Source organism: Homo sapiens, chromosome 1 (assembly GCF_000001405.40).
Source record: "Homo sapiens chromosome 1, GRCh38.p14 Primary Assembly".
In the NCBI taxonomy this organism is placed as follows: domain Eukaryota; kingdom Metazoa; phylum Chordata; class Mammalia; order Primates; family Hominidae; genus Homo; species Homo sapiens.
The window spans coordinates 180150413-180174107 of record NC_000001.11 but is presented as its reverse complement, the minus strand read 5'-3'; the positions used below and the strand labels follow the sequence as shown (position 1 = coordinate 180174107).

Genomic DNA, 23695 nt, shown 5'->3' with positions numbered 1-23695 from the left:
TTTTCACTACCTTGGACTTCTGCCTCCAACAGCCAAACACTGGTTTCCTTCTCCCTCCTTGGGATAGAGCTGTTTGGCCTTATCCCAAGCTGGCAGCTGAGAACAGGCCCCGGGCTCTGGCAGACCTCGTTCAAGGACTGGTTCTGCTTTGCTCTTGCTGTGTGACCTTGGGCAACGCATCAACTGCTCCGAACCTTTGTGTTCTCATCTTTGAAATGAGGATGACACCATCTACCTTGAAGACTTGTGAGGATTCCATGACCATACATCTAAAGTGCTTAGCATGGTACCTAGTGCATACATCAAGGAACTGGTACATGTTAACTGTACCATCATCACCCACCACCAGCATCCCCTTCCCTCCTTCATACCTTTTAAACACTAGGAACCATGATCAGCTAGGACTTGTTTGTTACAGACATTTGTAGGCAGAAAATCTGGAAGCCACCTGCTACCCTCTCCCACATGAGGAACAAAGGCTGCAGAGAAGCCACCTGTCTCTCCCCATCTGCAACCTTCTGCTCCCTGTGACCTCCCCCGGGCCCTTACTCCTGCTCACTGCTTTACTCTCTCTTTTCAAAACATTAATATAAACTTTTATTGTGGATGAAAACCATCCACTTATACATACCACACATATTTAAATAGCGTTCTTTACAGTTATTTAATTTTATTGGCCTATTAAAATTATGTTATCCTAATACTTAAGAAAATGATCATAAATTTCCTTGATTAGGAGATCGTATTGATAATGTAAGTTACGGCATTTATGGACTGACACTTTTTCATGAACAAAATTGAAGATACATCTATTTGGGGTTTGGTTTGCCGACAAATAATAAACCAGGTCAGGTGCAGTGGCTCGCACCTGTAATCCCAGCACTTTGGGAGACCTAGGAGGGAGGATCACTTGAACCCTGGAGTTCAAGACCACCCTAGGCAACACAGTGAGGCCCCATCTCTACAAAAAGTTAAAAATTAAAAATAAATAAAATTTAAAAACAAAAAAGAAACCCGAGGGTGATGTTGCGCTGCAGTTATTCATGGTGATGGTGCTCTTGTTTATTTACAGACAGGTTACACTTTGACTGGTTTCTACATATATGAGAACAACACTGACATCATGAAGCCTTGAGATGGGTGGCTTTCCCACAGCTACAGCTGTTATTTTCACCTCTGAAAAGTAATATGGTCATTTTTTTGTCATCAACCATCAGGTCACCCACATCTGAGCAGGTGCCCATATTAAAAGAGGCTTGCATTACTTCTACCAAAAGGCAGCCTCTCCAGGACGGGTGCAGTGGCTCATGCCGGTAATCCCAGCACTTTGGGAGGCCGAGGTGGGCGGATCACTTGAGGTCAGGAGTTTGAGACCAGCCTGGCCAACAGGGTAAAACCCCGTCTCTACTAAAAATATAAAAATTAGCCAAATTTGGTGACATGCACCTGTATCCCAACTACTCAGGAGACTGAGGCAGGAGAATTGCTTGAACCTGGGAGGTGGAGGTTACAGTGAGCCGAGATCATGCCACTGCACTCCAGCCTGGGCGACAGAGAGAGACTCTGTCTCAAAAAATAAAAAAATTTTAAAAAGGCAACCCCTCAAGATCCCTGCAGCCACAAGCAGCTTGGAGTCTGACCAGGAACCTCGGTCAGCCAGAGTGGCCCAGGGGGATGCAGGGACCCCAAGAGCCTCTCCCCAGGATGCAGGCTGAAGGGAAGGCCCTGCTGCACCTCAGCTGTTCCCTTCTGTCCTCAGAAGCTTCGCACCCACCTCCCAGGCCAATGTCTCCTCCGAGTTCTGGCTCCCACGCCTCACGCTCTTCAGGAACTTCTTCCTAGCCATCTCTCATCATTCCTCTTTTCTACTACAGCCGCCCAACTAGGCCTACAGATAGATTCGAATCCTTCTAGTCTAACCCTTAAAAAAGGAAAGGATGGGAAGGGAAGGAGGATGGGGATGAAGAGAGGCCCTCCTTCCTTCTCGAGTAACCGCATTTCCTTCCCGTGTCCCCATGCTGCCAATGTTCCTGGAACAGCGTCTGCCCTTGCTCCTCAGACTGCTCTCTGGCCATCCCCACAACCCTCAGTTGAAGCCGTTCTAGGGAAGCTCCTTGGTGACCTTCTCTTCAGCCACTCCAGTGATCTCTCCCCGCCCTCCTGGCCTCTCTCTGGTACAGATGTTATTACTGCCTGCTTTGTCTTCCCATGGCGAGCATTTGTCAACTTTCGTGCCACATTTTGTGGTTGCTCTCCTTTGTTGCTTTCACGTTGCCACCCTCCCCTGGTTGGCTTGACACTGACCAGCCTTACTTGGCCCCCTTGCCCTGGTCCTAGCTTCACTTTCGACTGCTCTCCTGTGCCCACTGTCCACCCCCATCTCCTACCCCGGTCTCTCCTACAGACACATGTCAGGTCCTGACACTCTTCTGTTTAAAAAGCTGTTGAAGGCACTGTCACAAAGAAGTTGCTCAATCTTGCTTCTAAATGATGAGTGGATAAAGGGATCAATGAACAAACCTATCATTTCTCCCTTGCCAAAGCCAATGACTTTGTCCAAATGATTTGCCATCTGAACCCTCTGCATCTCAGACCTCACCTGTCCTAGACTCCTGGTTCTTCCTGATGGCCTCCACTCAGGTGTCTGGATACTGCCCCTCCCCCACCATCCCCAAGACTGAATCACCCCTCTCTCAACCTGCTTTGCCACTTGTGTTTACCTCACCCAGCAACCAGTCCCCCTCCCTGCCACCCACACCATCCCCCTCTTCAAAAACCCGTCATCCAGTTAGCTGACAAGTCCTATGAATTTGACCTCCGTGTTACCTCTTCAAAAGTCCTCTCCTTCTCCACCTGCCTTGTCTAGACCAGGCCCGACAGATGATGACGTATTTTTGGGTCACTGCATCAGTCCCCACCTTTCATGCTCTCAGAAGTTTTAGTATGCTCAATCTTTTCATACTCCAGCTATCTTCCTCACTGCTACTAAGGTTAGTTTTCTAAGGCACAGTTCTGGTCTGAACATTTTGCTCCTCCTCAAATCTCTTCCATGACTCCCCACTGTCAATGAATAATGTCCAAACTCACTGCATTCAAGGCCTTCCAGGCTCCAAACCCAAACTCACCTCACATTGCCCTCCACTCCCGCCACTCCAGCTGCAATGAACTTCAACCTGAATCCACCACTCACCCATGCACCCACCTCTGACCAGGAAGCAGGACGACATTTTATTTATCTCTGCAAGCTCCACAGTGTCTGGCATCTCTCAATAGACATCTGTTCAGCTGAACAGAGAATCTCTGCCCTTTGACCATGCTGGAAGCCCATGCGGAAATCAAGTCAGGGCACATTTTTGTCCTCTGATTAAAATGTATCCTTATTAAGTCAACCACTGGGGCGTGTGCCCTGCCCAAGGGAAACCACCACAGCTCCCTGGAAGCAGGCAATTAAGACTCTGGGAGTGTGTTGCTTTTCTCCAGGAGCAGTCAGCACCCAGCCCTTTTCTTTCATCACTTTACACAGGAGCTACTGGAAGACCTCTAGCTGCTCCCTAATGGCAGAAAACCAGGCAACACCAGGCTGGTCTTCACGAAACTATGGAGTGACTGCTATCTTGGGGCCAAAAGAGCTCAAGAGAAAGCACACTTCCCAGGGGTGACACCGATGGCATTCAATTCCAGCTTTTATAACGTTTTAAGGAAAATGGTCCAGCCTCCAGATATTTTTATGGTAAGCCCATGAGGATCCATTACCTTAACCACTTCCAACACCGTGGATTATCCATGGAGAAGACCTCAAAAACAGCAGCTGACTGCTGAGAAAGGGGCCCACCTCCTTTTTCCAGAGAGAGACAGGAGACATCCTGGAGTCCTGTCTTCCTCCCTGACATCTCACCTTCTAGCAAAAGCCACAGAAGGTAACAGCCCAGACTCTGTACCCTCACAGGGCGTCCCTGCTTCCAAACCTGCATTCAAGGACCTGCCATTTCTGGGCTCCCTCCTCCCCCAGCTCTGCCTCATCCCTCAACATGAGCCTCTGCCCAGCTGGACGAGTCTCCTCAACACGCCACCTCGCCCTGCCCACAGAGGGCCTTGGCTCTCACCTTCTCGCCTGCCTATAAGGCCCGCCCACATTCCTCCTCTCTCCCAGCCAAACCCCATCTGTCCTTCAACACCAAGTAGAAGTCCCCTCCTACACACACTCCTCTCTGACCAGTGAAAGAGCTCCGTGAGCCCAGCAAACTCCTGTGGCATACCCTGGGTACCTATCCCTGGCCGCCTCTCACTGGCCATGGGCTCTGGGGATCTCACGCTCCTGGCCACGCCTGCAGTGGTGAGTGCGGTGCTGGGCACCCAGCAAGTAGGCCCGCAGTGGCTGCTGACAGATGGATGGACTGCCACACAGTCCAGCAGCAGCCACACACCAGCTACCAGCAGCCCCACGGGTGGCCCAGGAGTGAGATGGGACAACGGGAAGGAAGCAAACTAACTTTTACTGAAGTCCAAATCACACTAGCATGGTGGCACTTGCATATGGGAGACCTCACTTCACACTTGGCAACGGTCCTCTTAGGTGGATGTTATCATCCCATGTTTACAGACAAGGAAACTGGGGCCCACGGCTGGGGCACTGATAAGTGACTTTCCAAGCCACACACAGTAAGCAGAGAGGCCTGGATTTGAAACCACATCACTGATCTCCTCAGAGCCTCGAAGAGAGAAGACCTGCCCTTCCCCACCCCTATGCTGCTGTGCTGTGTACCCCTTGCTCCGGCCAGGCCTTCGGCCATAAAAAGTCCCATTCTATTCCCACTGAAGGGCACTCCTGAGGCCCACGGAGAAGCCCCTTGACCCGGAAGTTCCAGCCTCTAGGTTGCCAAGCTCCAGCCAGAACCTGCAGCCAACCAGCCCCTCCCTCTCCCACGCCTTTGTTTCCTTCCAGCTGGGCTCTGGCTCCAACCTGATGGGGACCTGACACAGCTGGCCCGCCCTTCAGGGCCCAGGTGTTTGCTAAACAGGCTGGGCTGGTAGAAGCTCACTGTTTGCTCATAGTGACAAGGGGCTGGAGACAGAAGAAAAGGACAGTCACACATGCCACTCAGGGAGGCCAGACTTGTGTGTGGGCCTGTCCCCATCATACCAAAAGCACTCTCTCCTCCCCCTGCTTCGCATGGGCCCTCGCTTTTCAGCTCTTCATGGACAGAGTGCAAGGACAGGCTCCAGCCCCCAGAGGGCAGCAGGCAGGGCAACAGGGCTATGTCTCTGGCCCACCAGCAGTCTCCAGGTCAGCCTCTGCCAAGGGCACACAGGTTCTTCATGGCCCCGAATCTCTGGATATTGGAATCTGTTTGAGTAGTGTTTTCCAAACACTAGAAACAACCTTGTAATGAGCTGTCAAATCAATGTATTTAATCACAGCCGGATTTAAAAAAAAAAATAGAACAGAAAATATCACAGTTTAACTGCACTTAGTAAGAATCTTGTTTTATGAAACTTCTGGTTTAATGATAATAGATACATACCAACTTTGGGATCACAATGTAAAAATGTGTATTGCTTACAGTTGGTCACAGTAAGAAACTATTTGAGAGCCGCTGCATAGGACCTCAGAGCAGAGACCTGCCAGCTCAAGCCACTTGGCCTATGGACTGGGCACTGGGTGCCTCCCCCTGGCCAAAACTGAGCCACAGGTTCCTCAGGAGAGGCAGGAAAGGCTTTGCCGGGGGAGGCCACCGTGTTGGTCTGTGGACAGATGACTACCAGACTGGCCCTGCCAGGTGCTGCCCGTCTGGAGGCAGGGGAGGGCTGAGGAGCCCAGCGAGGGCCCTCCCAGTGCCCCTCCCACAGCCAGCCAGGCAGTTCAGGAGATGGTGACTCACCTGAGGCATCCAGGCTGCGTGCGCTGCGTGACATGGGGTGGCGCTGAGGAGCCTCTGACCTCCTGGGCCTAGGCCGCCTCCTTCATCCCTGCTGTGCCCAGCCTCTCCCAGGCAGAGTCAGAAAGCTCAGGTGTCAGGCCCTACAGAACTCCAATCGGTTGTCTTGCCCTGGCTGCTGTACCAGTGTCAACCCCTCCCCTGGGGGCTGGGCAGTGGCTGCACCCCTGCGGCTCATGCTCACTGGGAGAAAAATATCAGCCTGTGAATGATGGTTCCTTGTGCCACACTAACTTGCCCACAGCTTCCCACTCAGGGCCACTCACCCTGGTTCAGCCAAAGGAACAGAGTGCCCTGTTTGAATATTCTCAATTACACACCTTAGGGCCAAAGATAGCACCATGTCCCTGCCAGGAAGGCCTTTCATTTCAAAGGGATGATTGACATGCAGACTCTCTGCTGCCACTTTTCAATGACACGGCAGTAGCTGTTGGTTCGCTATCAGGAGACCAACCTGGTCTCAGCTAAACCTGGGGCCTGGGGGGCCCTGACCCTATGTGGTAACAGTTTAGGAAGGGACTTCTATTAGGTGTGGAAACCCTGAATCCAGTGGGGGTTGCACTGGGCTCGAGGAACAGAAAGGTCACATGGAGTTAGAGCTGGATGTTCCTGGTGGAGCCACGGCCTTACTTCCCGGATGGATGCTGCTGGGGTAATTAAGCTGAGTTCTGGCTCACAGTTCTGCTTGAAACTTGGCTGCCCCTACCCCCAGCTCAGAGGTATCTTGTTCCAGGGACAATGCTTGGCATTTCAGCTTTCAAAGGCATTTCCTAATAATCCTTAATGGCTACAGAAGAAACTGGTTTTCTAGATGCCATTCTGGTGGGAGGGTACATATTATTTATAGCTGGTGCTACAGAGACAGAGATTTGAATTTGGCTTCTCTAATCTGGAAGAAAACTAATTGGATTGGAGCCAGGCCTGAGCCCAGGGGAGGGCCCTCACCATAACTGCAGCAGCCTTGCTGCCCTGGGCTATCCAGGGCCTCCTATTTGAGAGCCTTGGAAGCTGTTCAGACGTTAATTAAGCTGTTGATGCCCTGCACTGGGCAGGCTGGCAGGTAAGGCATCATCAGAGATCTCGTGCCACTTTCCACCAGAGCGGGGGTGACAAAGCCCTCATGCCTTGGGTGTGATAACTCCCGTGCCGGGGATCCCTGCTGCCTGAGGCACTGACATTCTGACAGTGGGGTGAGGCTACCCTGACAGGTCCCTTCTTAGCTACCTGTGGTTCAAGGCATTTTTGCCTGAGGAGGCTGAGGCTTGCCAGAGTGTCTGGGGTCCCTTTGTGGGGGACCACTAGGCTTCTAGAGTCTGACCCTGCCCACAGGTGGGTCAGAGCCTGAATCCTGGTTTTATAGAGTTAGATCAGACCTCTTAAGGCTTGGAGGTCAAGAGGGAGAGCAATTGAAGAGGACCTTGGGAGGTGGGAGCTCTCACCAGCCCAAGTGATGATCACCTCCCAGCTCAAATCAGAGCAGCTGAAATCTGCCCATCCCGACACATCCCACATGGTCCCTTTCCCTTATAAAGGGAAACAAAGCAGGCCCAGCCTGCCTTCCCCTCCTGTCAGTCACACACCCTCACAGTCGGGAAGCCAGGGATGTTGAAGTCTCTGCAGACTGCACTGTTGGTCTCCTCAGCACAGTCCAGGGCGGCGAGATACAGGGCCGGCCTCCAGGCTGAAAGGACAAAAAACCCAGGGGTAAATAAGAGGGGCTGGTACCCCCTCTGCCCGCCCATCTCCCCTAATGCAATGCCTCACCCCTGCCAACCTCAAAGCACCTGATCCCAAAGCTCTTATGACAAAGGTCACACCTTCCTTGGAAAAGGACCTCTGAGATATTCCAGTTGGTCTGCATTTCTAGCGTCTCACAAAAGGGAACCTGTGTTTTGGATGATTAGCATAAGTCATACTGCCTCATAATGGTATCTGTTTCTCCATTACTAATCGGGGCCAGGGATGGGGGCTGAGAGATGTTGAAGGAGTTTGCCCTGCTCCTCGCCATCCCCCCAGCCCCCCACCCCCCAGGAAAAGCCCTGGTATTGCCTTTGTCCCTGGGGCTCTAAATGGGATCAGTTCCAGAGGGTGGAGAACATGCCTTAGGGGATCTGGAATTCCCCAGGGGACCCTTAGGGAAGTTTCCTGGGGCCAGAGATACTGGTAGTGGGCAGAGCTTGAGTGACTGGGGTAAAGGGTATCAGGAACTGGGTCCCCAGACAGAAACAGGAGCATCTGGAATCCAGGAACTGCGGGGAAAGAAGCCTTGAGGCCAGAGTCTGGCCCCTGCATCAGGCCCCGGGCCACAAGGCTGCTGGCCGCTGAAACATTGGCAGAGAGAATAATGGCACCATTCTGGGCCACAGCCCAGGAACTGAGAAGAAACAAGCTCATATACCAGGCAGCTCTCCTGAGCTCAGGTTCCAGGTCAGGTGCCCCGTGAGCATCCACCAAAGTTCCACCCACATGGAGGCTGCTCCAGCTGGAAGCCAAGGTGCGCACAGAGGAAGACACACAAGCCGTGAGAGGGCAGTGGCAGGGGCCAAATCATGTGGCACAGAACTCTCAAGTTTGGAGAGGTCGGCCCTGCAGACCAAGGCATGGGCTCAGCAGGAAAGGTGGAAACAGAGTTGAACCTAGACCGTCGGTCCAGTGGGCAGGGAACTGCCTGAGCAAGGTGGAGGAGGAGAGGACTGGCAGAAACCAGGCTGCCTGGAGAGGAGGGTTTTTGGGAGGCATGGGAGCCAGAATAGAAGGGAGCAAGAAGAGACCAGACTGGGAGTGTCTGCCTGGACAGCTCAGGATGACGTCCATGGCAGCTGGACCCACATGCGTCTCTGAAGCAGATGAGAGGAGGAGGAGGCCTGCCTGGTGGCAGGCACAATTCCCATTTGAAGCTCATGCCCCAGGGGCAGGGAGTGGAATTTACACAGGCAGCCCACCCAGCACCCATTAAGTACAGAACACTAATATCTGAATAACATCCCTGATAGTCACAGTTTTAGCAGGACCTCTGACCCCACCTGATATGGTCTGGATCTTGTCCCCTCCAAATCTCATGTTGAAATGTGATCTCCAATGTTAGACGAGGTGAAAGGTATTAGATTAGGTAGTGAAAGGTATTAGATCTTGGGGGCAGATCCCTCATGAACAGCTCGGCACTGCCCCCTTGATAACGAGTGAGTTCTCACTCTGAGTTCTCATAAGATCTGATTGCTTAAAATAGGGTGGCACTTCCCAACCCCCTCCTGCTTCCTCTCCTGCTTTGCCTTCTGTCATGAGTAAAAGCTCCCTGAGGCCTCCCCAGAAGCTAAGCAGATGCTGTGTACAGCCTCCAGAACCCTGAGCCAATTAAACCTCTTTTCTTTATAAATTACCTAGCCTCAGGTACTTACTTTTATCAATGCAAAAACACCCTAATACTCCACCCTAGAACTTACTCCTTACGACGTCTCAGAAGAACACAATTTCAGAAGGTATCAGAGCTCCTAAGAACACGTTACGCCTGGGGAAGGAGTGTTACCCTCACCTCCACGAGACAGATGCAGGAAGAGCCTGGCACACCCTGACGCATCCCTGGAAAGAAGGCAACTAAGCTGGCCCTTCTTGGGGCTGATACAAGGGAGGGGGCTCTGCGAGCTGGGAGGAAGGCCTGTGGCCACACCACCCCCTTCTTTCCCCCACCTTTCTTGCTGGTAGTCTGCTTTTGGCATTGTAGCTTCTGGACTCCTCGAAGGAGGGAGGTGGGTGGGGGGTTGGGAAGAGGAAGTAGATGGAGGTATTTACCAGAGTCAGACGTCAAAAGTATTTAGCAGAGTGAGGTGAGCTACATCCTATGATGCCATTTCCCCAACCTCCTCAACACCCCCCCACCACACACTTTTTGGGGAGCCTTCTTGACTCCCTTAGCACACAAGGATAGCAACTTGAGCCTATCCAAGTATCTGCAAGCTGGGGTGCATCCTTTGGCTTTAAACCTCACCTGCAAGGCAGCCTGCACAAAGGCAGGTATGGTCAGGGCCTGTTGCATGCCAGGCCCAGGATGCAATCCCTCTGCCCCTACCAGGGGATTGCTGATCCCCACCTGCCTCCACATCCTGTCCACTCTCCTCTGAAGTCTCTTCCCTCACCCAAACCTCCATCTCTTCATGCCTGTCCTAGGTTGGCATGAACCCGTGATCTGGTTTTTTACTGACCTCACCTCCAACCTACCCTCCGTGTCCCATGAGCTAGTACAGGTTCTCATGGCAGGGCTTCCAGAGAAACATCAACATATTATTTCTCTCCTGGTGAGGTTCTAATGTGCTCCACCCCTCACTGCCCTCTCTAGCCACCAAATGATCTTTTCTTTCTGTGGATCTGATTATGTCAATCTCTATTCAACATTCTCTGGGGGCTCTAACTGACTTTAGAAGAAAATCTACAACCAGAAGGCAGTTCTTCATTTGGCCCCTGTCCACATATCCAGCCTCCTCTTACGGTTATTTTACGTTAAATTAAGTCATAGATATTCATAAAATATCATTTCTAAGTAAATTAAAATACTGAAACATTAATTGCTGAACATAAGTCTAAAGTATATATGCTTTGGCATCTTGTTTTTGTATGGCATAGAGAATATAATTGGGTCTGTAATAAGCATGAAAAGCTGAGGAAACATGTTTCTAGAAATTATGAAATGGTGAATGTTAATAGAAGACAGTTCACAATGCTTGCTAGTTTTCACTAGAAATTAAGATTACTAAGGAGTAAAAACTAATTAATATAAGCAACTAAAACTAAAAATAATAAGGGACATAATTCTGTATGCAAGGGAAGTATGGCACGGTTTATAAAGGAAGTCATAAAATGTAAGGATGTATTTTAATTAAGGGAAAAAGAGAGTCATTTTGTTCTAAAGTAGAGTGACTGGTTATTTCACAATGAGAAAGAGGAACAGTACAGGACAAACCAATGGATACAAGGAAGTTGTGAAGAGAAAAGAACTTCAAGTGTGGTCGAATGGGCTAACTTATAGTTTTTGTGTTTTTTTTTTTTTGATGAGCCTTAATATCAAAAGTACACTGATGAAAAATCAGAATTTGGTCCTCTCTGTTAAAACAAGGTTTTCTTGAAGTATTGATCTGTTCTTAAAAGGAAACAGTGAAAGGTTTTTCTGTACCTTTTAGGTAATTCTCCTAAAGAAAGATCCTTTGTTTCATCAAGATGATTCCCTGTGCTTCATGTTGTCTTTACTAGGTCCTTGATTACTTAAGAAAATGGAGTCCTCTCTATAAAAGAGCTGTTTTTTCTGCAACAATGTAACATTCTATATTTTCATTTTGAAGTCTTTTAATTATCATTCTGGTTAGATGAATGACTGTGACTTCACAGTGACCTGTGATCCTATTTTGATCAAGTGATTTTTTTTGTTTTGCTTTTTTGTTTTTGTTTTGAGATAAGGTCTCACTATGTCATCCAGGCTGGAGTGCAGTGGTGCGATCGTGGCTCACCTGTCCTCAATCTCCTGGGCTCAAGTAATTCTCCCACCTCAGCTGCTTAAGTAGCTGGTACCACAGGTGCACACCACCACACCTGGCTAATTTTTTAAAATTTTAATATAGAAATGGGGTCTTCCTATGTTGCCCAGACTGGTCTCGAACCCCTAGGCTCAAGGTATCCTCCTGCCTCGGCCTCCCAAAGTGTTGGGATTACCGTCATGAGCCACCATGCCCAGGCTGATTAAGTGTTTTAATTTTAAACCTTTGACATTTTGTACAAACTTCCCAAAATCAAATTCTAAATTAAGGCTTTCTGAACTTGAAGTAACTTTGGAACATTTCAGGGGGCCCTGGAACATCTCAAAGATTCTGCAAAGGGGAGATACTAAACTAGTTAGGCTCATTTGATGTATTAATTATATGGGAAGCATTGTCAAACAAGAAATGATGTTTAATCTTCTTTGAGTTATATTTATTGATGTATGTTTATACTTGCTATTAAGGTGTATCCCCAAAATTATATGATATTCCTAGAAATATGATACATTATCAGCCTTAATTTTGGTTATTAGGTTAAAATGTTGTATGCACAGCAATAACCAGATTTCCTTGTCAATTGTGTCATTATTACTATGAACTCTCATCAGATCTTTAACCACAACCATTTTAAGTCTTATTGTCTACAGTTAATTGCTTTATTCTGATGTTTTTCTAAAAGCTTTTTTCTAAGCAACTATAATCCTGAAGTGCTTCATCTTCAAGGAGATCCACGGAAACGTCTCTGATAAGTACCATTTCTGATAACTTCGAGATAATACGATTGGACTGGGAAAGAATTTCCAGAACTCTAATGAAAAAAACTGATGGGTCTGCAAAACTGATAACCAAGATCAAGCACAACAAGAATTAATTACATGAGACTAAATGAACTAATGAAGAATTATGGGTTTTTCTGGTTTTTAAATTTGAAACGTTGCTGGTTCTTTTTAATGTTTTGTTGTCCAGATTTAAGAAAACTTATTTTCTTTTAAGCTATCTATAGTTTACAGCAATTTGGTAAGTATACTCTTGTGAACAAAAATGGAAACATTTTCTCCCTACAAGACCTCTCTGGAATTCAGAAACTATTTGTGAATATTCCTATTTTTATGGCAATACTGTTATTTGCATAAGTTCAATAAGTATCTGCTCTCTTTACAACAGGATACAATAGGAAACACTGGTCATATTACCAAGGTTTTGAGTGTGATGCCATACTTGAGAATATACCTATGATGAATCTATAGGTACTGCAGGTGAAATCTGAAGTTGGGCTTGGGTTGACTTCCTAGCCTTGAGAAGTTGTTAAAAGTCCAATCTGAGATTCCTTATCGATAAGTTCTAGCAAAGCAAACTTAAGAAGAGCCTACGTGGTCAATCACTATTCTTGCCACACTTATGTAAATAATTAGGCCAAGTCTGATGTGACTAAATATTTTCTGCAAGCAAATTAGTCTGAATTTTATTTTATTTATTTTATTTTATTTTATTTTAGATGGAGTCTTGCTCTGTCATCCAGGCTGGAGTGCAGTGGTGCAATCTCGGCTCACTGTGACCTCTGCCTCCCACTTACCCTGATTATCTTTGGTAGAAATGGGGGTGACTATAGAGAGAAAAAATATGTTCCTAAAGAAAAACTATAGTACATCTGTTATTAGATTGTAGCCTTGTTGATCATTTTCAAGTTTTTATCATCTACCTATAAGATGGATTGAATTCTGAATTCTTCCAGTTTCTTCCAATAACTAGCTACAATTCTCCAACTAAGAACAGGAACTGTTCTGTGCCTAAAGCCCTATAAACAGAAGCTGAACAACTTGATATACATTTCAAGGGACAAGTCTCATGCCTGACGTGTACGCTACACAAAGAGTTCACCAAAATGCCCAATGCCATAACCAGAGACAATCAAACTGCAAACCAGGACAAGAAGTTGACAACTTCATGCTTTCCCAAAACTTCTGAACAAGAGTTTCATTGGAATAAGACTTCCACTTTATCCTTGATTACATCTACCTTTTTTTGTCTGGCAGGATAATGCTGTAGTTAGAATTTCACAATCAGTGGCTTCTGTGGGTAACTTCACAAACTGTTGGATTTGTCACGCTAAACCCAGATCTTTACATGACCAAAGGGATCCTTTAGTCTGCCCAGTGGGTAACTTCAGCAACATCCCTAACACAACTGTTGTTCAAACTGTACTAGTGGTCCCTTTTATAGAGTCAGACTTTTAGACCCATGTGTTCTCACTTCCTGCTTTAATTTAACCCAGTCATGGGATACTAGATAATAGAACTGCTACCTACTAGCGAACAGGGAATCTGTGCAATTGCTGACACTTTCTGTTGCACATGGATAGACACATAGTGTATTGAGACTCAGTTGCAAAAAAATGAACAAATAGTACTTGCTTAAAAAGGGTAAATTCCTCATCTGGCTCATTCTTTGATCTCTTCAATTTTAGTTGGTTTGGTTCATGGGTCCCTGGCTAAGCGTCATATTGTAAACTCTTAGTATTATCCTGGGGAGAGTCATTACAGTAGTTTCCCTGTTACACTGTATCCTCTCAAAGAGTCTTAAATATCTATATGCAGCCCTCTGCTGAATGCTAAATGGTCTCTCTCCAGCTGGAATGATAAAACTCCAAGAAACGCATGATAATGAGGACACCTTAACCTATAAATGATGTGTTAAGACCGAAAACCCAAAACGATGATTACTGAGAGTAGTGCTGATGCCCTGTTTTAGTAACTCTCACCTAGGTGAGAACCTGACCAAAAGGGGAGAACTGTTAAATAATATTTCTAGGAGGCCATTGGTTGGGACTGAGCTCCTGCACAAGGCCCAAGAGACCAAACCAAGATGGAGTCCCTCAAGCTGAAGTTCCACGCCACCAAGCCAAAACTAAGCTGTCGATCTGACCTTCCAAGATCAGGAGAGAGTGAGTTAACAGTCAAATCTTCAAACAAGCCAGTTTCAGCCAACATACAGAAGTCTCCTCTGCTTTAACCTTTAAAAGGGACCGAAATAACCAATCAGATTTTTGATCTGTTTCTACTTTCTTCAGCCTTTTTCTGTCTATAAAGCCAAACTCCTCTGCTCAGCTCATCAGAATACTCATTCTGTAAGACAGAATGTGGTGTTGTCCGATTCCAGAATCACAAATAGAAGCCAGTTAAGATTTTTGAATGTGGTGTAATTTTGTCTTTTGACAAGTAACAGGAGATGGAATAGAGAAGGTCCTTATGTGAGTGCTCCATTGTTAAAGCAAAGCTGCATTTAAGCTTTACTGTCAACGCAATGCAGAGCTGGGTGACAGAGGCTTTTTGAAGTGTCAGGTGTCTTAAATGCCTAACACCAAAATGATCAGTAGTATCAGTCTAGCTCTACTACTGGGGAGAAAACCCTTTCCTGGTGCAATTATTGCTCTGAACAGCGTAATTTTTCTACCAACCACAGAATAAATGGACTAATGGAGAGGGGAAGGGTGGCGAGGCAAGAGAAGTTGGACAGCTGTAAATCTTGGATTGATGGGTGAGGGGATGCCCTCTGGTAGGGGGTGTTGTGGGGATTCTGCTGAGCCCCCACTGGGGGCTTGGTCTGGAGTCAAGGGCAGCGTCCCCTGCCCCACTCACAAGTGCAGGGAGGGCACTGGGTGGAGCAGGAAGCCTTGCTTGGAGTTTAACTGGCTGCAGCACCGTGAGCTCCACATGTCTCTCTGGACCTCTGCTTCCTCCTGGATCAGCGAGGGCCAGGATGAATGATCTCTAATGCCCCTTCTAGCTCTGACAACCGTTGAGGTGCTGGATGGCAAACAACTCTTAACAAGAAACATGCAGCCTCCGAGTGTTAAGTGGGTCTGGACTTCCATGAAGACAGAGGCACAGATTTACCCAAACCACCAAGAGCCAGTCAGACCTGGTGGTCTAGTGACTAGAATCTACTGACCCTCAGCTCTGGACTCTACACCGAAGAATTCAGGAGCTCTCCTGACACAGAGAGTTAGTTTATGCCCTGTCCAGCTAGTCAGCACTATGCGGTCACCAACTCATGCCTTCCTTCCTCCTTGCTGACAGTTTCTGGGCAGTGACGTCACTGGATGGACAAAATGCCTTCTCTACCCCTCACACCTGGCTGACACCCCCGGTCTGAGTCAAGAGGATCCACGGCACCAGCAGAAGGTTCTACACTCACGCTGTCATTTGGAATCCTGTGAGGCTCAGGCCACTGGCCACCATGAACGTGCAGTGGGCTCCTACTCTGCACCAGGCTCTGTGCTGGGAATCACAGGTACACATAGCAGATGTGGCCTGTGCCGTGGAAGAGAAGGGGGGCAAAACCAACACTGCTCACTGTCACTCAAACACACGCCTTACGAACCTCACCTCCATAGCTCGGCACATGCTGTTTTTCCACCTGGAGTATCCTTCCTCCTCCACCCACCTCTCTACCTGCCCAGGCTCCAGAAAGCCAAAAAGAGCTGGAGTCAATGACCTTCTCCAGCATCTGTGTAAACCTGGAAAGTTACTTACCTGTTTTAAAAAAAGAGGAAGACAATATCCATAGTACAGATATTTTCCCGGGTAAGGATTGTCATAATAATGGCCTGTGAAGGCCCTTAGCAAAGTGCTGGCATAAGGCAAGCGTGTAATAAATAACTACTGGCATGAAGGCCTCTGGTGATCAGATTAGCCCTCTGTGACTTTCCCCTCCCCTGGGTTCCCATAAGAAATGGCTGAACCACTCCTTTGGCCTTTTTCAAACACAGCTTTGTAACAGTTGCCAATTTTCCTTCTATGAGTAGCTCATTTCCCCAACTGCAATGCAAACAATGCTTATCACTCAACAAATATTTGCTGATTGATTAGCCAGTGAATAGCAATGAAGGTCTAAATTGGATACAACCAGTTTCCAAAACATACAGTGAGACAACCGGAGCTGCTCTGGAATAGAAAGGGGATAAACCAGGTTCTCAGAAACACATGCTCTGCCCCGGGGCAGCAGGTGCCTAGAGAATCTACTGCCCTAGTCACTGAAGAAATGAACCCTATTCAGTCAGATTAAATGCCTGAAGCCAGCCAAATATGGCTGCAAAATTCTTCTCTCTCCCTGTGACCTTCACTCTGTCTCTGTTCCTGCCTCAAGATACAGGTGTCCTCAGCAGAGAGCATGGGCAGTACTCACACAGCCCAGGGTGGGATGAGCACAGCCCTCTGCGGGCCCACAACCAACCTTTCTCAAGAAACCTCAGGACACAGAGATGAAGCGAGACCAACCCTAGCTTCTCAGCAGGGCCTCACCAGGGAACACCCCTTTGGGTTAGAGTGGAGGACATTCTTCATTGCAGGCTGACAGCAGATTCTGCCAGTGCCCTCCCAACACGATCTGGCTCAAGGACTGACTCACACCAATGGCTCACAGGAGACCTCCAGTTTCCACTGAAATCTCCCACCTCCCATTTACCCTGGCTCACCCCCACAGACTTTGATCCTTCCATTTCCTTTTCAGAGGTTAAATTCTGATTTCGCTTTCTTATTTTAGAGAAAGGCTCCATGCACTGGGGAATCCTGTTTGGAAGTGGTAACCCTCATCCAGGAGCAGAATGGGTCAGTATCTAGACATGCAACTCATAGGAAAACTAAAAACTCTGCATTGCAAGAGGCCAAACATGTGAGTCAGCTGGAAGCTAATCTTTCCCCCCAGCACTCTCAAGAAGGAAGAAATTCTAGAATAAGTCCATCTGCAGCCACTGAACACCTCTTATAACCTCAAAGTGGAAAGCGATCTGGGAATTTTTATGATGTTCATGCCCACAATGTCCCCTGAGATTACCTTATCTTAGGTGTTCCAGTTCCATGATCCATGTTCTTCCTCCCTCCTCCCCTGACCAGATGTGTTGACATCACTCCTCCCCTGACCAAATGTGTTGAAATGGTGTGAAGCACTGCTCAGAAAGGCACGTTCAGCTAATGGGACCAGTGAGGCATGTAGGCAAGTGTAAACTGGAGGTCAAAACAGCTTATAAGTTTCATTTAAAAATAATTTTCCAGGACCATATGGCTAAAAGATGTACACATGGTTCCATCTCGCCTCTTCAGAAACCAATCTGCAAGCTGCTCAGGAAAAGAGGAGGGTGAGTCTGAAAACTAACATCTACAAAGGCACTGTTCTACCACAAAGAGTTGAATTTATCAAGAAATACCAACAGTGGAACAATGGTTCCAGTTCCCCTTTCTCTAGAAAAAGGCCTATTTCCAAAGATGCCCACAGTTCTCATTCAATGACCATTTCAGGGTAGGAGGCCGTGCTAGCGACCTAGCACCAGAGTCAGGAAGTAACTCCATTCAGAGGCAGCAAGTCAGGAACAAATCACTATCACTATACCACTCCTGCCCGCCAAATACCCACTACCTGGATTAGGTGGATGTGTGACACCACAGGAATCTTTAAATTGTGGAAAGGAAACTATGAGACAATGTATGCCGAGTACTTAGTAAGGTGCCTGAAATGATAGGTGCTCCGTAAATATTAATTACTATTATTACCATATTTCCTCGACTCTAAGTCTTAAGTGTTTCAAAATTTTAGCATTTCTGTAATAGAGTTCACCTTCAAATCTTTATACATGTAGTGGTTTTTTCCTATCCTTCTACCCCTTGGGCTGTCATAAAATGAACAGTGTGTCTCACAGTTGATGGTGTCTTGGAATTCAGGAAATATAGTTTTGGTGCCCCAACCAGGGATTGGGAACATGGAGCAAGAGCCAAACACGCACCAAAGGCCTCTGGGTGCATGGGTTTAAAATATAAGGGTCTGAGCGGGGGAAGAGAGAGAAGGATGTGGCCCAGAAGCTAAGGAGCTGGAGGCGGCAGGTCAGGAGAGGCCCGGAACAGAGATAGGAAAACTGCCAGGTGGACATACCCACATCAAAGACAAAAATGAGAAAGGAAGTCTATGTACCACCTGGTCAACCAGTCGAGGGAGTGGAGAAAGGTGGCAGGGAGGCAAAATGGATGTCCGTTCCCTTTTCTCCCCAGCACTGACCCACAGCAGCTAGGGAACCTGGCAGGAAGATGACATGGGTCCCTGGACGAGAGGAAGAGGACTGCCACAAGGCTGGCCCAGGAAACGGTAAGGTGTCAGCGGACCATGCGGAGGAAGGAACAAAGGAGACCTCTCGCAGGGAAGGAGGCAGTAACCTGGCGGGGGACGAACCGGGCGAGCAGGGCAGGTCTGGGGGCCCAGGCCGCGGAGAGGGAAAGAAGCTCGGGATGAGGGCCAAGAGGAAAAGGCAAGGGAGCGGGAGGCAAAAATGGAGCTGAGAAACATGAAGGTGGTGGGCGTGGGATGCGCGGAGAGGAAGAGGTGGGCGGAGGTGACTGGAAGAGGGACGCGCTCCCGGAGTAGGAGGCTGCCCACCGGGCAGGTGGAGGGGTCCGGGCGGCGGGGCACGGGGGAGCGGGCCGCCCCCGCTTCTCACCTTTGACGTCTTCGGCCAGCGCCTTCCACGTCGGGGCGAAGGCGATGCAGTGGCCGCACCAGGAGGCGAAGAACTCCACGGCCCAGGCGCTGCGGGAGCCCAGCACCGCGCCGCGCACCGTGTCCGCCTGCAGCAGCGTCAGCGGGTCGGAAGGCGAATAGAGCGCCGACCGCGGGGCCGCGTTAGCGCCGGGAACCGCGAGCAGCCACAGCAGCAGCAGCAGCAGCGACGGCGGCGGCCCGGAGCCGCTGTTGCACCTCCTCATCCTCGGCGCTGCGCTCACCACCACACGCAAGCACCGGATGAGTCGGGTCCCGGCGCCGCGGCACCGCCTGCCTCCGCCCGCAAGGAGGAGCCACGTGGCCCCGCCCCTGAGCCCCCGCCCCCGAGCCCCCGCCCCCGAGGCCGGCCCAGCCACCCCGCCCCGCCGGCCGCTCCTGGGCGCGGGAGCGGGCGGGGCTGAGCTTGTTGCAGGGGCTGGCCCTGGCCGGGTGGTGAGCCATCCTTTCGCGGTCCGCCGAGGCCTCGGAGCAGCGCGACCCGGGTTCCCGCCTCAGGCCCCAGGAGGCGAGGTGTACAGTCCGGTAAAGGAATGGAGCGCCCGCCGAGCGGTCGCTGCGGGGGTAGCCTCGCGGAGGTTGTTTGGCCTCTCACGGCCCCCGTATCCAACGGAAGAGGAGTCCGTTGGAATAGACGACCCGGATTTCGGCTGTTGTAGGGCAGTTCCTGGGCTCCCGCGGAGCGATGAGACGTTGTGAATTAGATGTGAGAAGAGGGACGCTTGGTCTGCGACCACCAAGACCCCACAGGATCGATGCACCCACCCCTGCTGATGACCATGACCATCTAAAGGGGAACATCATTTGAGGGGCCCTACTCATGGATCAGAAGCCCCTCTTCACTGTGGGGTGTGCTGGGTTGGCGGGCAGTTGCCGTGGAATCAGTTTCCTCAGGACCCATATCTGACCACCCTCATAAGGTTGTCAGGGCGATTCCAACATTCGGGGTTCCCAGCAGCCCAGATCCCCCACATCCAGCTCTTCAGCCTACTCAGAGCTCTCCACGCTCACTCACATGTCCCTCTCGCAAGTAGCCCGATCAACTCACCTGGTGTCATGGGCACTAAGGTGTTAATGGATTTTCTCTGGTCACCTTTGCAGCTCCACTGTTTTGAGTGAGTTATTTTAAGGGGAGAAGGTGCTCCTCAGACGGTTGTCACAGTGATATTTTTCCTTTGTGACTGCCAGGTTAGCCCCTTTCACCTGTAAGAGCTTTGAGCCTAGATTTGTTATTCATTTATTCAAGTTTTACTGAGTGGTGTCATGCCAGGCACTTGTTTAGGTATAAGGATAAGGCAGTAAACAAAATATAGACTCTAGGGACGTGGAACTTACATTCCAGTGGGGGTAAAGAGATGATACATAAGTAAATGTAGATCAGATGGTGACCGATGTTATGAAGAAATGTAGACTGGGGTAAGAATAGAGTGGCAGAGGAGGTGCTATTTTACACACGAAGATCAGGGACAGGTCTACCCTTAATATTTGCAAGAACTGAGTCAGTAGTACAAATGGAGGCCCACATATCATGTCTACATATTTTAAAACTACAAATTAAACGGTGATGTAAAATTCCTATCCTTTTATCTTGACATGTATACCTTCATCATAATCTGGAAGGCCACATTTAAGTTTAGGATTCTTGGACCCTTCTGAGATACGCCCTCGAATGTAGTGCTTTGGAGGGGGAACATGTCCTTGGCCCTCAGCCTTCCTTCTTCTCTTGGCACCCCAGCTCTGTCCCATACTTCAAATGGCCTTTTGCCCACACCTATAACAACGACATCTGCACATCAGAGTTTTGTCCACACCTGCAAATAGCCTCCCCTTGACCACCCCTTGCTCCTCAGGAGGATAGACCTTGGGAAAAGGCTGAGGCAGCCTGTAGCTGGTGACCTGTTGCTATTGCGGCACTATTTTCTAGGGTCCCAGGAACTCACAGTATGCTCTAAAAAGGAGAGGGGCAAGAGCTCTGAGTGAGTACATCCCGTTGGCCCGTGGGATTTCTTGCCCTATGGAAAGGAACATGGACGGAAGAGAATCAGGTGCTCAGAGCCCTAGACTGGGGCTCCTCTTGCCCCAGTCTTGAGGCAGTTCTAAAGAGGTAACATTTGAGCCAAAGACCTAAATGAAGTATGGGAGGAAGCCCTGTGGGAGTCTGGGTTAGGAGCACTCCAGGAAGTGGTCCAGAGGTTGGAGTTTTTACTCCCTTCATGTGTTCATATCTGTCTGCCTGAAGTCTTAAGCTGCATAGAGAAATTATGTGTTAGCCAATTGGAGTGTTAGTACCTTGCTAACTCTCCTCCCCATGACGCAGCCAATTCCAGTTGCTGGGTACTCCTCCCCGGGACTCAGTCCCTGTACAGCTTCTGCTCTCCAACTTTTCTCGCTCCTAGCAGCCTCTGGAACCAGAATGGACGGTCCTCTAGTAACGCTGGATTCTATGGGTTGGAAGTACTGCAGCGGCTGGATCAGGTTCCAGTAAAGTTTTGTACCTTCAAATGTCTCTGTTGTTAAACAGTGTTGTAGTTATCTTTCCCATGGGCCTAGAAATTAAGGAGACAAATGTCTACTGAACATGCTGAGTGCTTGAGAAAGACACTCCAGATAAATACATAAAGACTTGCTTGTTTGAATATCTGTTTCAGAGCATCAGAAATGGCAAAGAATACAAACTATTTGAATGGAATAGAGAAAAGTTTCTTGGCAATGGTGCCAAAGAGGTTTAAGACTGAGAGTTTTAAAGTCTGGGGTTTCTGTATCTCATCAGAAGGGGGATTTTCGACTTTTTAAAGACTTGGAAACCATTGTTCAAACAGAATCTTGAAACTTAAACAGATAAGAGCAATAACAAAGATATAACCTAGAGCAAAACCCACTTTCTGTGGTCAGTGGGGCTCCCTAGGCCTCTATTTGACAATCACTGGTTTAGAATTAAGAGCAGAAAACGTGAGAATCGCAATTGCCCTTCTTGCCCTTCCTGGAACTTCCTGGGATGAAAAGGTTGCGGAAAAGGAAATCTACTCAGAAATGGGTGTTGAGAGAGGAAGGGGTGCTGCGGAAAACCCCGGAAGCTGGAGGGAGCACTTAGAAATTCCTACCGAAGTCCCCTTTTCCCCCTTCCTACATATAAATTGTAGGAAAGGGGGCCGAGATGAATCAGATGAGCAAATACTCATGGTGTGGGCTAGCACTTTGCACCTGCTGCTCTAAGGATTTACAGATGGTACTCATTTAGTCCTCACACCAACCCTTAATATGAGGGTTGATATTATACCAACTCTGAACCTCAACATGAGGTTGATAAACCATTTTTACAGATGGGGACTGAAGCGGAAGGGGCCCTGTTGACTTTACCACTTGTGAATCATTCATGTGTTATGCATGAATAAAAGAGAGGGAATTTGGAAGTCTGCCACCCAAAAATGAAATAAATTATGAGAGGAACGCAGCTTATACACAATTCACATAATTATAGTGAGCAATAGAAGAGTGTTTGGTAAAATATGTCACCCAGTAGCATTAGATGACTTTCCCCTTACTCATTCGCACCAAGGATCAGAGAAGGTGTATGCAACTGGAGGCAGGTGCCCAGCAACAGAAAAGAGACCCTTGCTTTGTCCCTCAAAACTCTAGGTCTTCCAGATGAACCTTTCCACAGCTGGGACAGTTAGAACCCTAATTCTGAAAGTTGGAAGAAAAATAGCAAGAGTGTGTATCAGTTAGATATGAAAGGAAAGAGAAAGCACGTTCCAAGGGTCTACTGAAAATGGTTTACTGGAAGAACTATTCACAAGGTTGTGTGCAGGGCAGAGGGAACTAATTAGGGACTGGCAAAAGCAAAAAGCCTTTCTAGCACTCCTGGACCAGAGCAGAGAAAGGGAGGGAATTTTGTGATGAAAACCAGTGACAGCAGGAAGTGAGGGAGAGGGGCTGCCCAACTGGTGTTGCAATCACATGATGCCACCACTGCCAGAAACACAGGGAGGCACTGGGAGAGTATGACTTCCACTTTTTTCTCCTCCAATCCTCCAATCCTTCTTGCCATTGTCTCCCACTGGCCAAACCCAGTCAAAGCCAGAGGGTGAACATGCCCTGATTATATAGTCTGTAGAAGTTGGCTTCCAAGACAAAAGGCAGGACAGTGGAGGGTGGAGAATGGAGAATAATGTACCTAGTACAGGGTCCCCAAATTTGGGCCCTTCAAGGCCTTAGAAATAAGAATGGAAAACACAGAAATCCCTGAACATCCTTCTGTGAGTCTCCTGAGTAGGAGTTGGGGGCTAGAAATCTATCTGACCATTAGAGAAAGCAAGCCGGAGGAAGAGGGTAACAGAGATTCCTTCCCAGCTGCTCATCCTTTCCTATCCACACTTAGTCTAATTGCCCTATTCTGTATCTGTAGAGGAAACAGGCCCAGAAAAGCGGAGTGTCTTGCTAAAGGCCACGCAGGAAGGTAATGGCAGAGCCATTTTTGCCAGGCTTTCCAATACAGCCATAGAAGTATTGAGAAGGGGACGTCTGTGAAAGGGATATGTGGGCAGACTCCCATGTTCAGGTCAACCTTCCCTGGTCCCCAGGTCACCTGATGACAATTCAAAGGGCATAGGCACACACACCCGCACACACACACACTACACACACACTACACACACACACACAGAGCTAATTATTTAGAGTAGAATGAAGATACAAGACTAT

General features: G+C 48.5%; 1 protein-coding gene and 1 long non-coding RNA gene across 4 annotated transcripts in view, besides 6 other annotated features; one reads left to right on the top strand and one right to left on the bottom strand.

Moving 5' to 3' along the window:
- QSOX1 (quiescin sulfhydryl oxidase 1) overlaps positions 1 to 19239 on the bottom strand; it is a 49162-nt gene extending 29923 nt beyond the window's left edge. For all 3 annotated transcript variants that reach the window (NM_002826.5, XM_047426230.1, NM_001004128.3), the window contains exons 1-2: positions 18936 to 19239; positions 7517 to 7617 (exon numbers count right to left, since the gene is read on the bottom strand). In NM_002826.5, the coding sequence (NP_002817.2) occupies positions 7517 to 7617; positions 18936 to 19200 (366 nt within the window). In that variant the 5' untranslated portion in view covers positions 19201 to 19239. The remainder of the gene's footprint in view (positions 1 to 7516; positions 7618 to 18935) is intronic.
- Positions 5769 to 6426: an enhancer, noted in NCBI's record as "H3K27ac-H3K4me1 hESC enhancer chr1:180136817-180137474 (GRCh37/hg19 assembly coordinates)". NCBI's record gives its function as "activates a minimal SCP1, AML or CMV promoter by ChIP-STARR-seq in primed H9 embryonic stem cells {active_cell/tissue: H9 hESC(primed)}" and the evidence as "EXISTENCE:reporter gene assay evidence [ECO:0000049][PMID:30033119]".
- Positions 6427 to 7082: an enhancer, noted in NCBI's record as "H3K27ac-H3K4me1 hESC enhancer chr1:180136161-180136816 (GRCh37/hg19 assembly coordinates)". NCBI's record gives its function as "activates a minimal SCP1, AML or CMV promoter by ChIP-STARR-seq in naive H9 embryonic stem cells {active_cell/tissue: H9 hESC(naive)}" and the evidence as "EXISTENCE:reporter gene assay evidence [ECO:0000049][PMID:30033119]".
- Positions 7083 to 7740: an enhancer, noted in NCBI's record as "H3K27ac-H3K4me1 hESC enhancer chr1:180135503-180136160 (GRCh37/hg19 assembly coordinates)". NCBI's record gives its function as "activates a minimal SCP1, AML or CMV promoter by ChIP-STARR-seq in naive H9 embryonic stem cells {active_cell/tissue: H9 hESC(naive)}" and the evidence as "EXISTENCE:reporter gene assay evidence [ECO:0000049][PMID:30033119]".
- Positions 7741 to 8398: an enhancer, noted in NCBI's record as "H3K27ac-H3K4me1 hESC enhancer chr1:180134845-180135502 (GRCh37/hg19 assembly coordinates)". NCBI's record gives its function as "activates a minimal SCP1, AML or CMV promoter by ChIP-STARR-seq in naive H9 embryonic stem cells {active_cell/tissue: H9 hESC(naive)}" and the evidence as "EXISTENCE:reporter gene assay evidence [ECO:0000049][PMID:30033119]".
- Positions 18965 to 19064: an enhancer, noted in NCBI's record as "active region_2159". NCBI's record gives its function as "activates an Ori minimal core promoter by ATAC-STARR-seq in GM12878 lymphoblastoid cells {active_cell/tissue: GM12878}" and the evidence as "EXISTENCE:reporter gene assay evidence [ECO:0000049][PMID:35858748]".
- Positions 19245 to 19564: a silencer, noted in NCBI's record as "silent region_1592". NCBI's record gives its function as "represses an Ori minimal core promoter by ATAC-STARR-seq in GM12878 lymphoblastoid cells {active_cell/tissue: GM12878}" and the evidence as "EXISTENCE:reporter gene assay evidence [ECO:0000049][PMID:35858748]".
- Positions 19270 to 21500, top strand: LOC105371636 (uncharacterized). The gene is made up of 2 exons (XR_001738314.3): positions 19270 to 20109; positions 20919 to 21500. It is a non-coding gene; the product is annotated as an uncharacterized LOC105371636 (long non-coding RNA).
- Positions 21501 to 23695: the final 2195 nt, after the last annotated feature.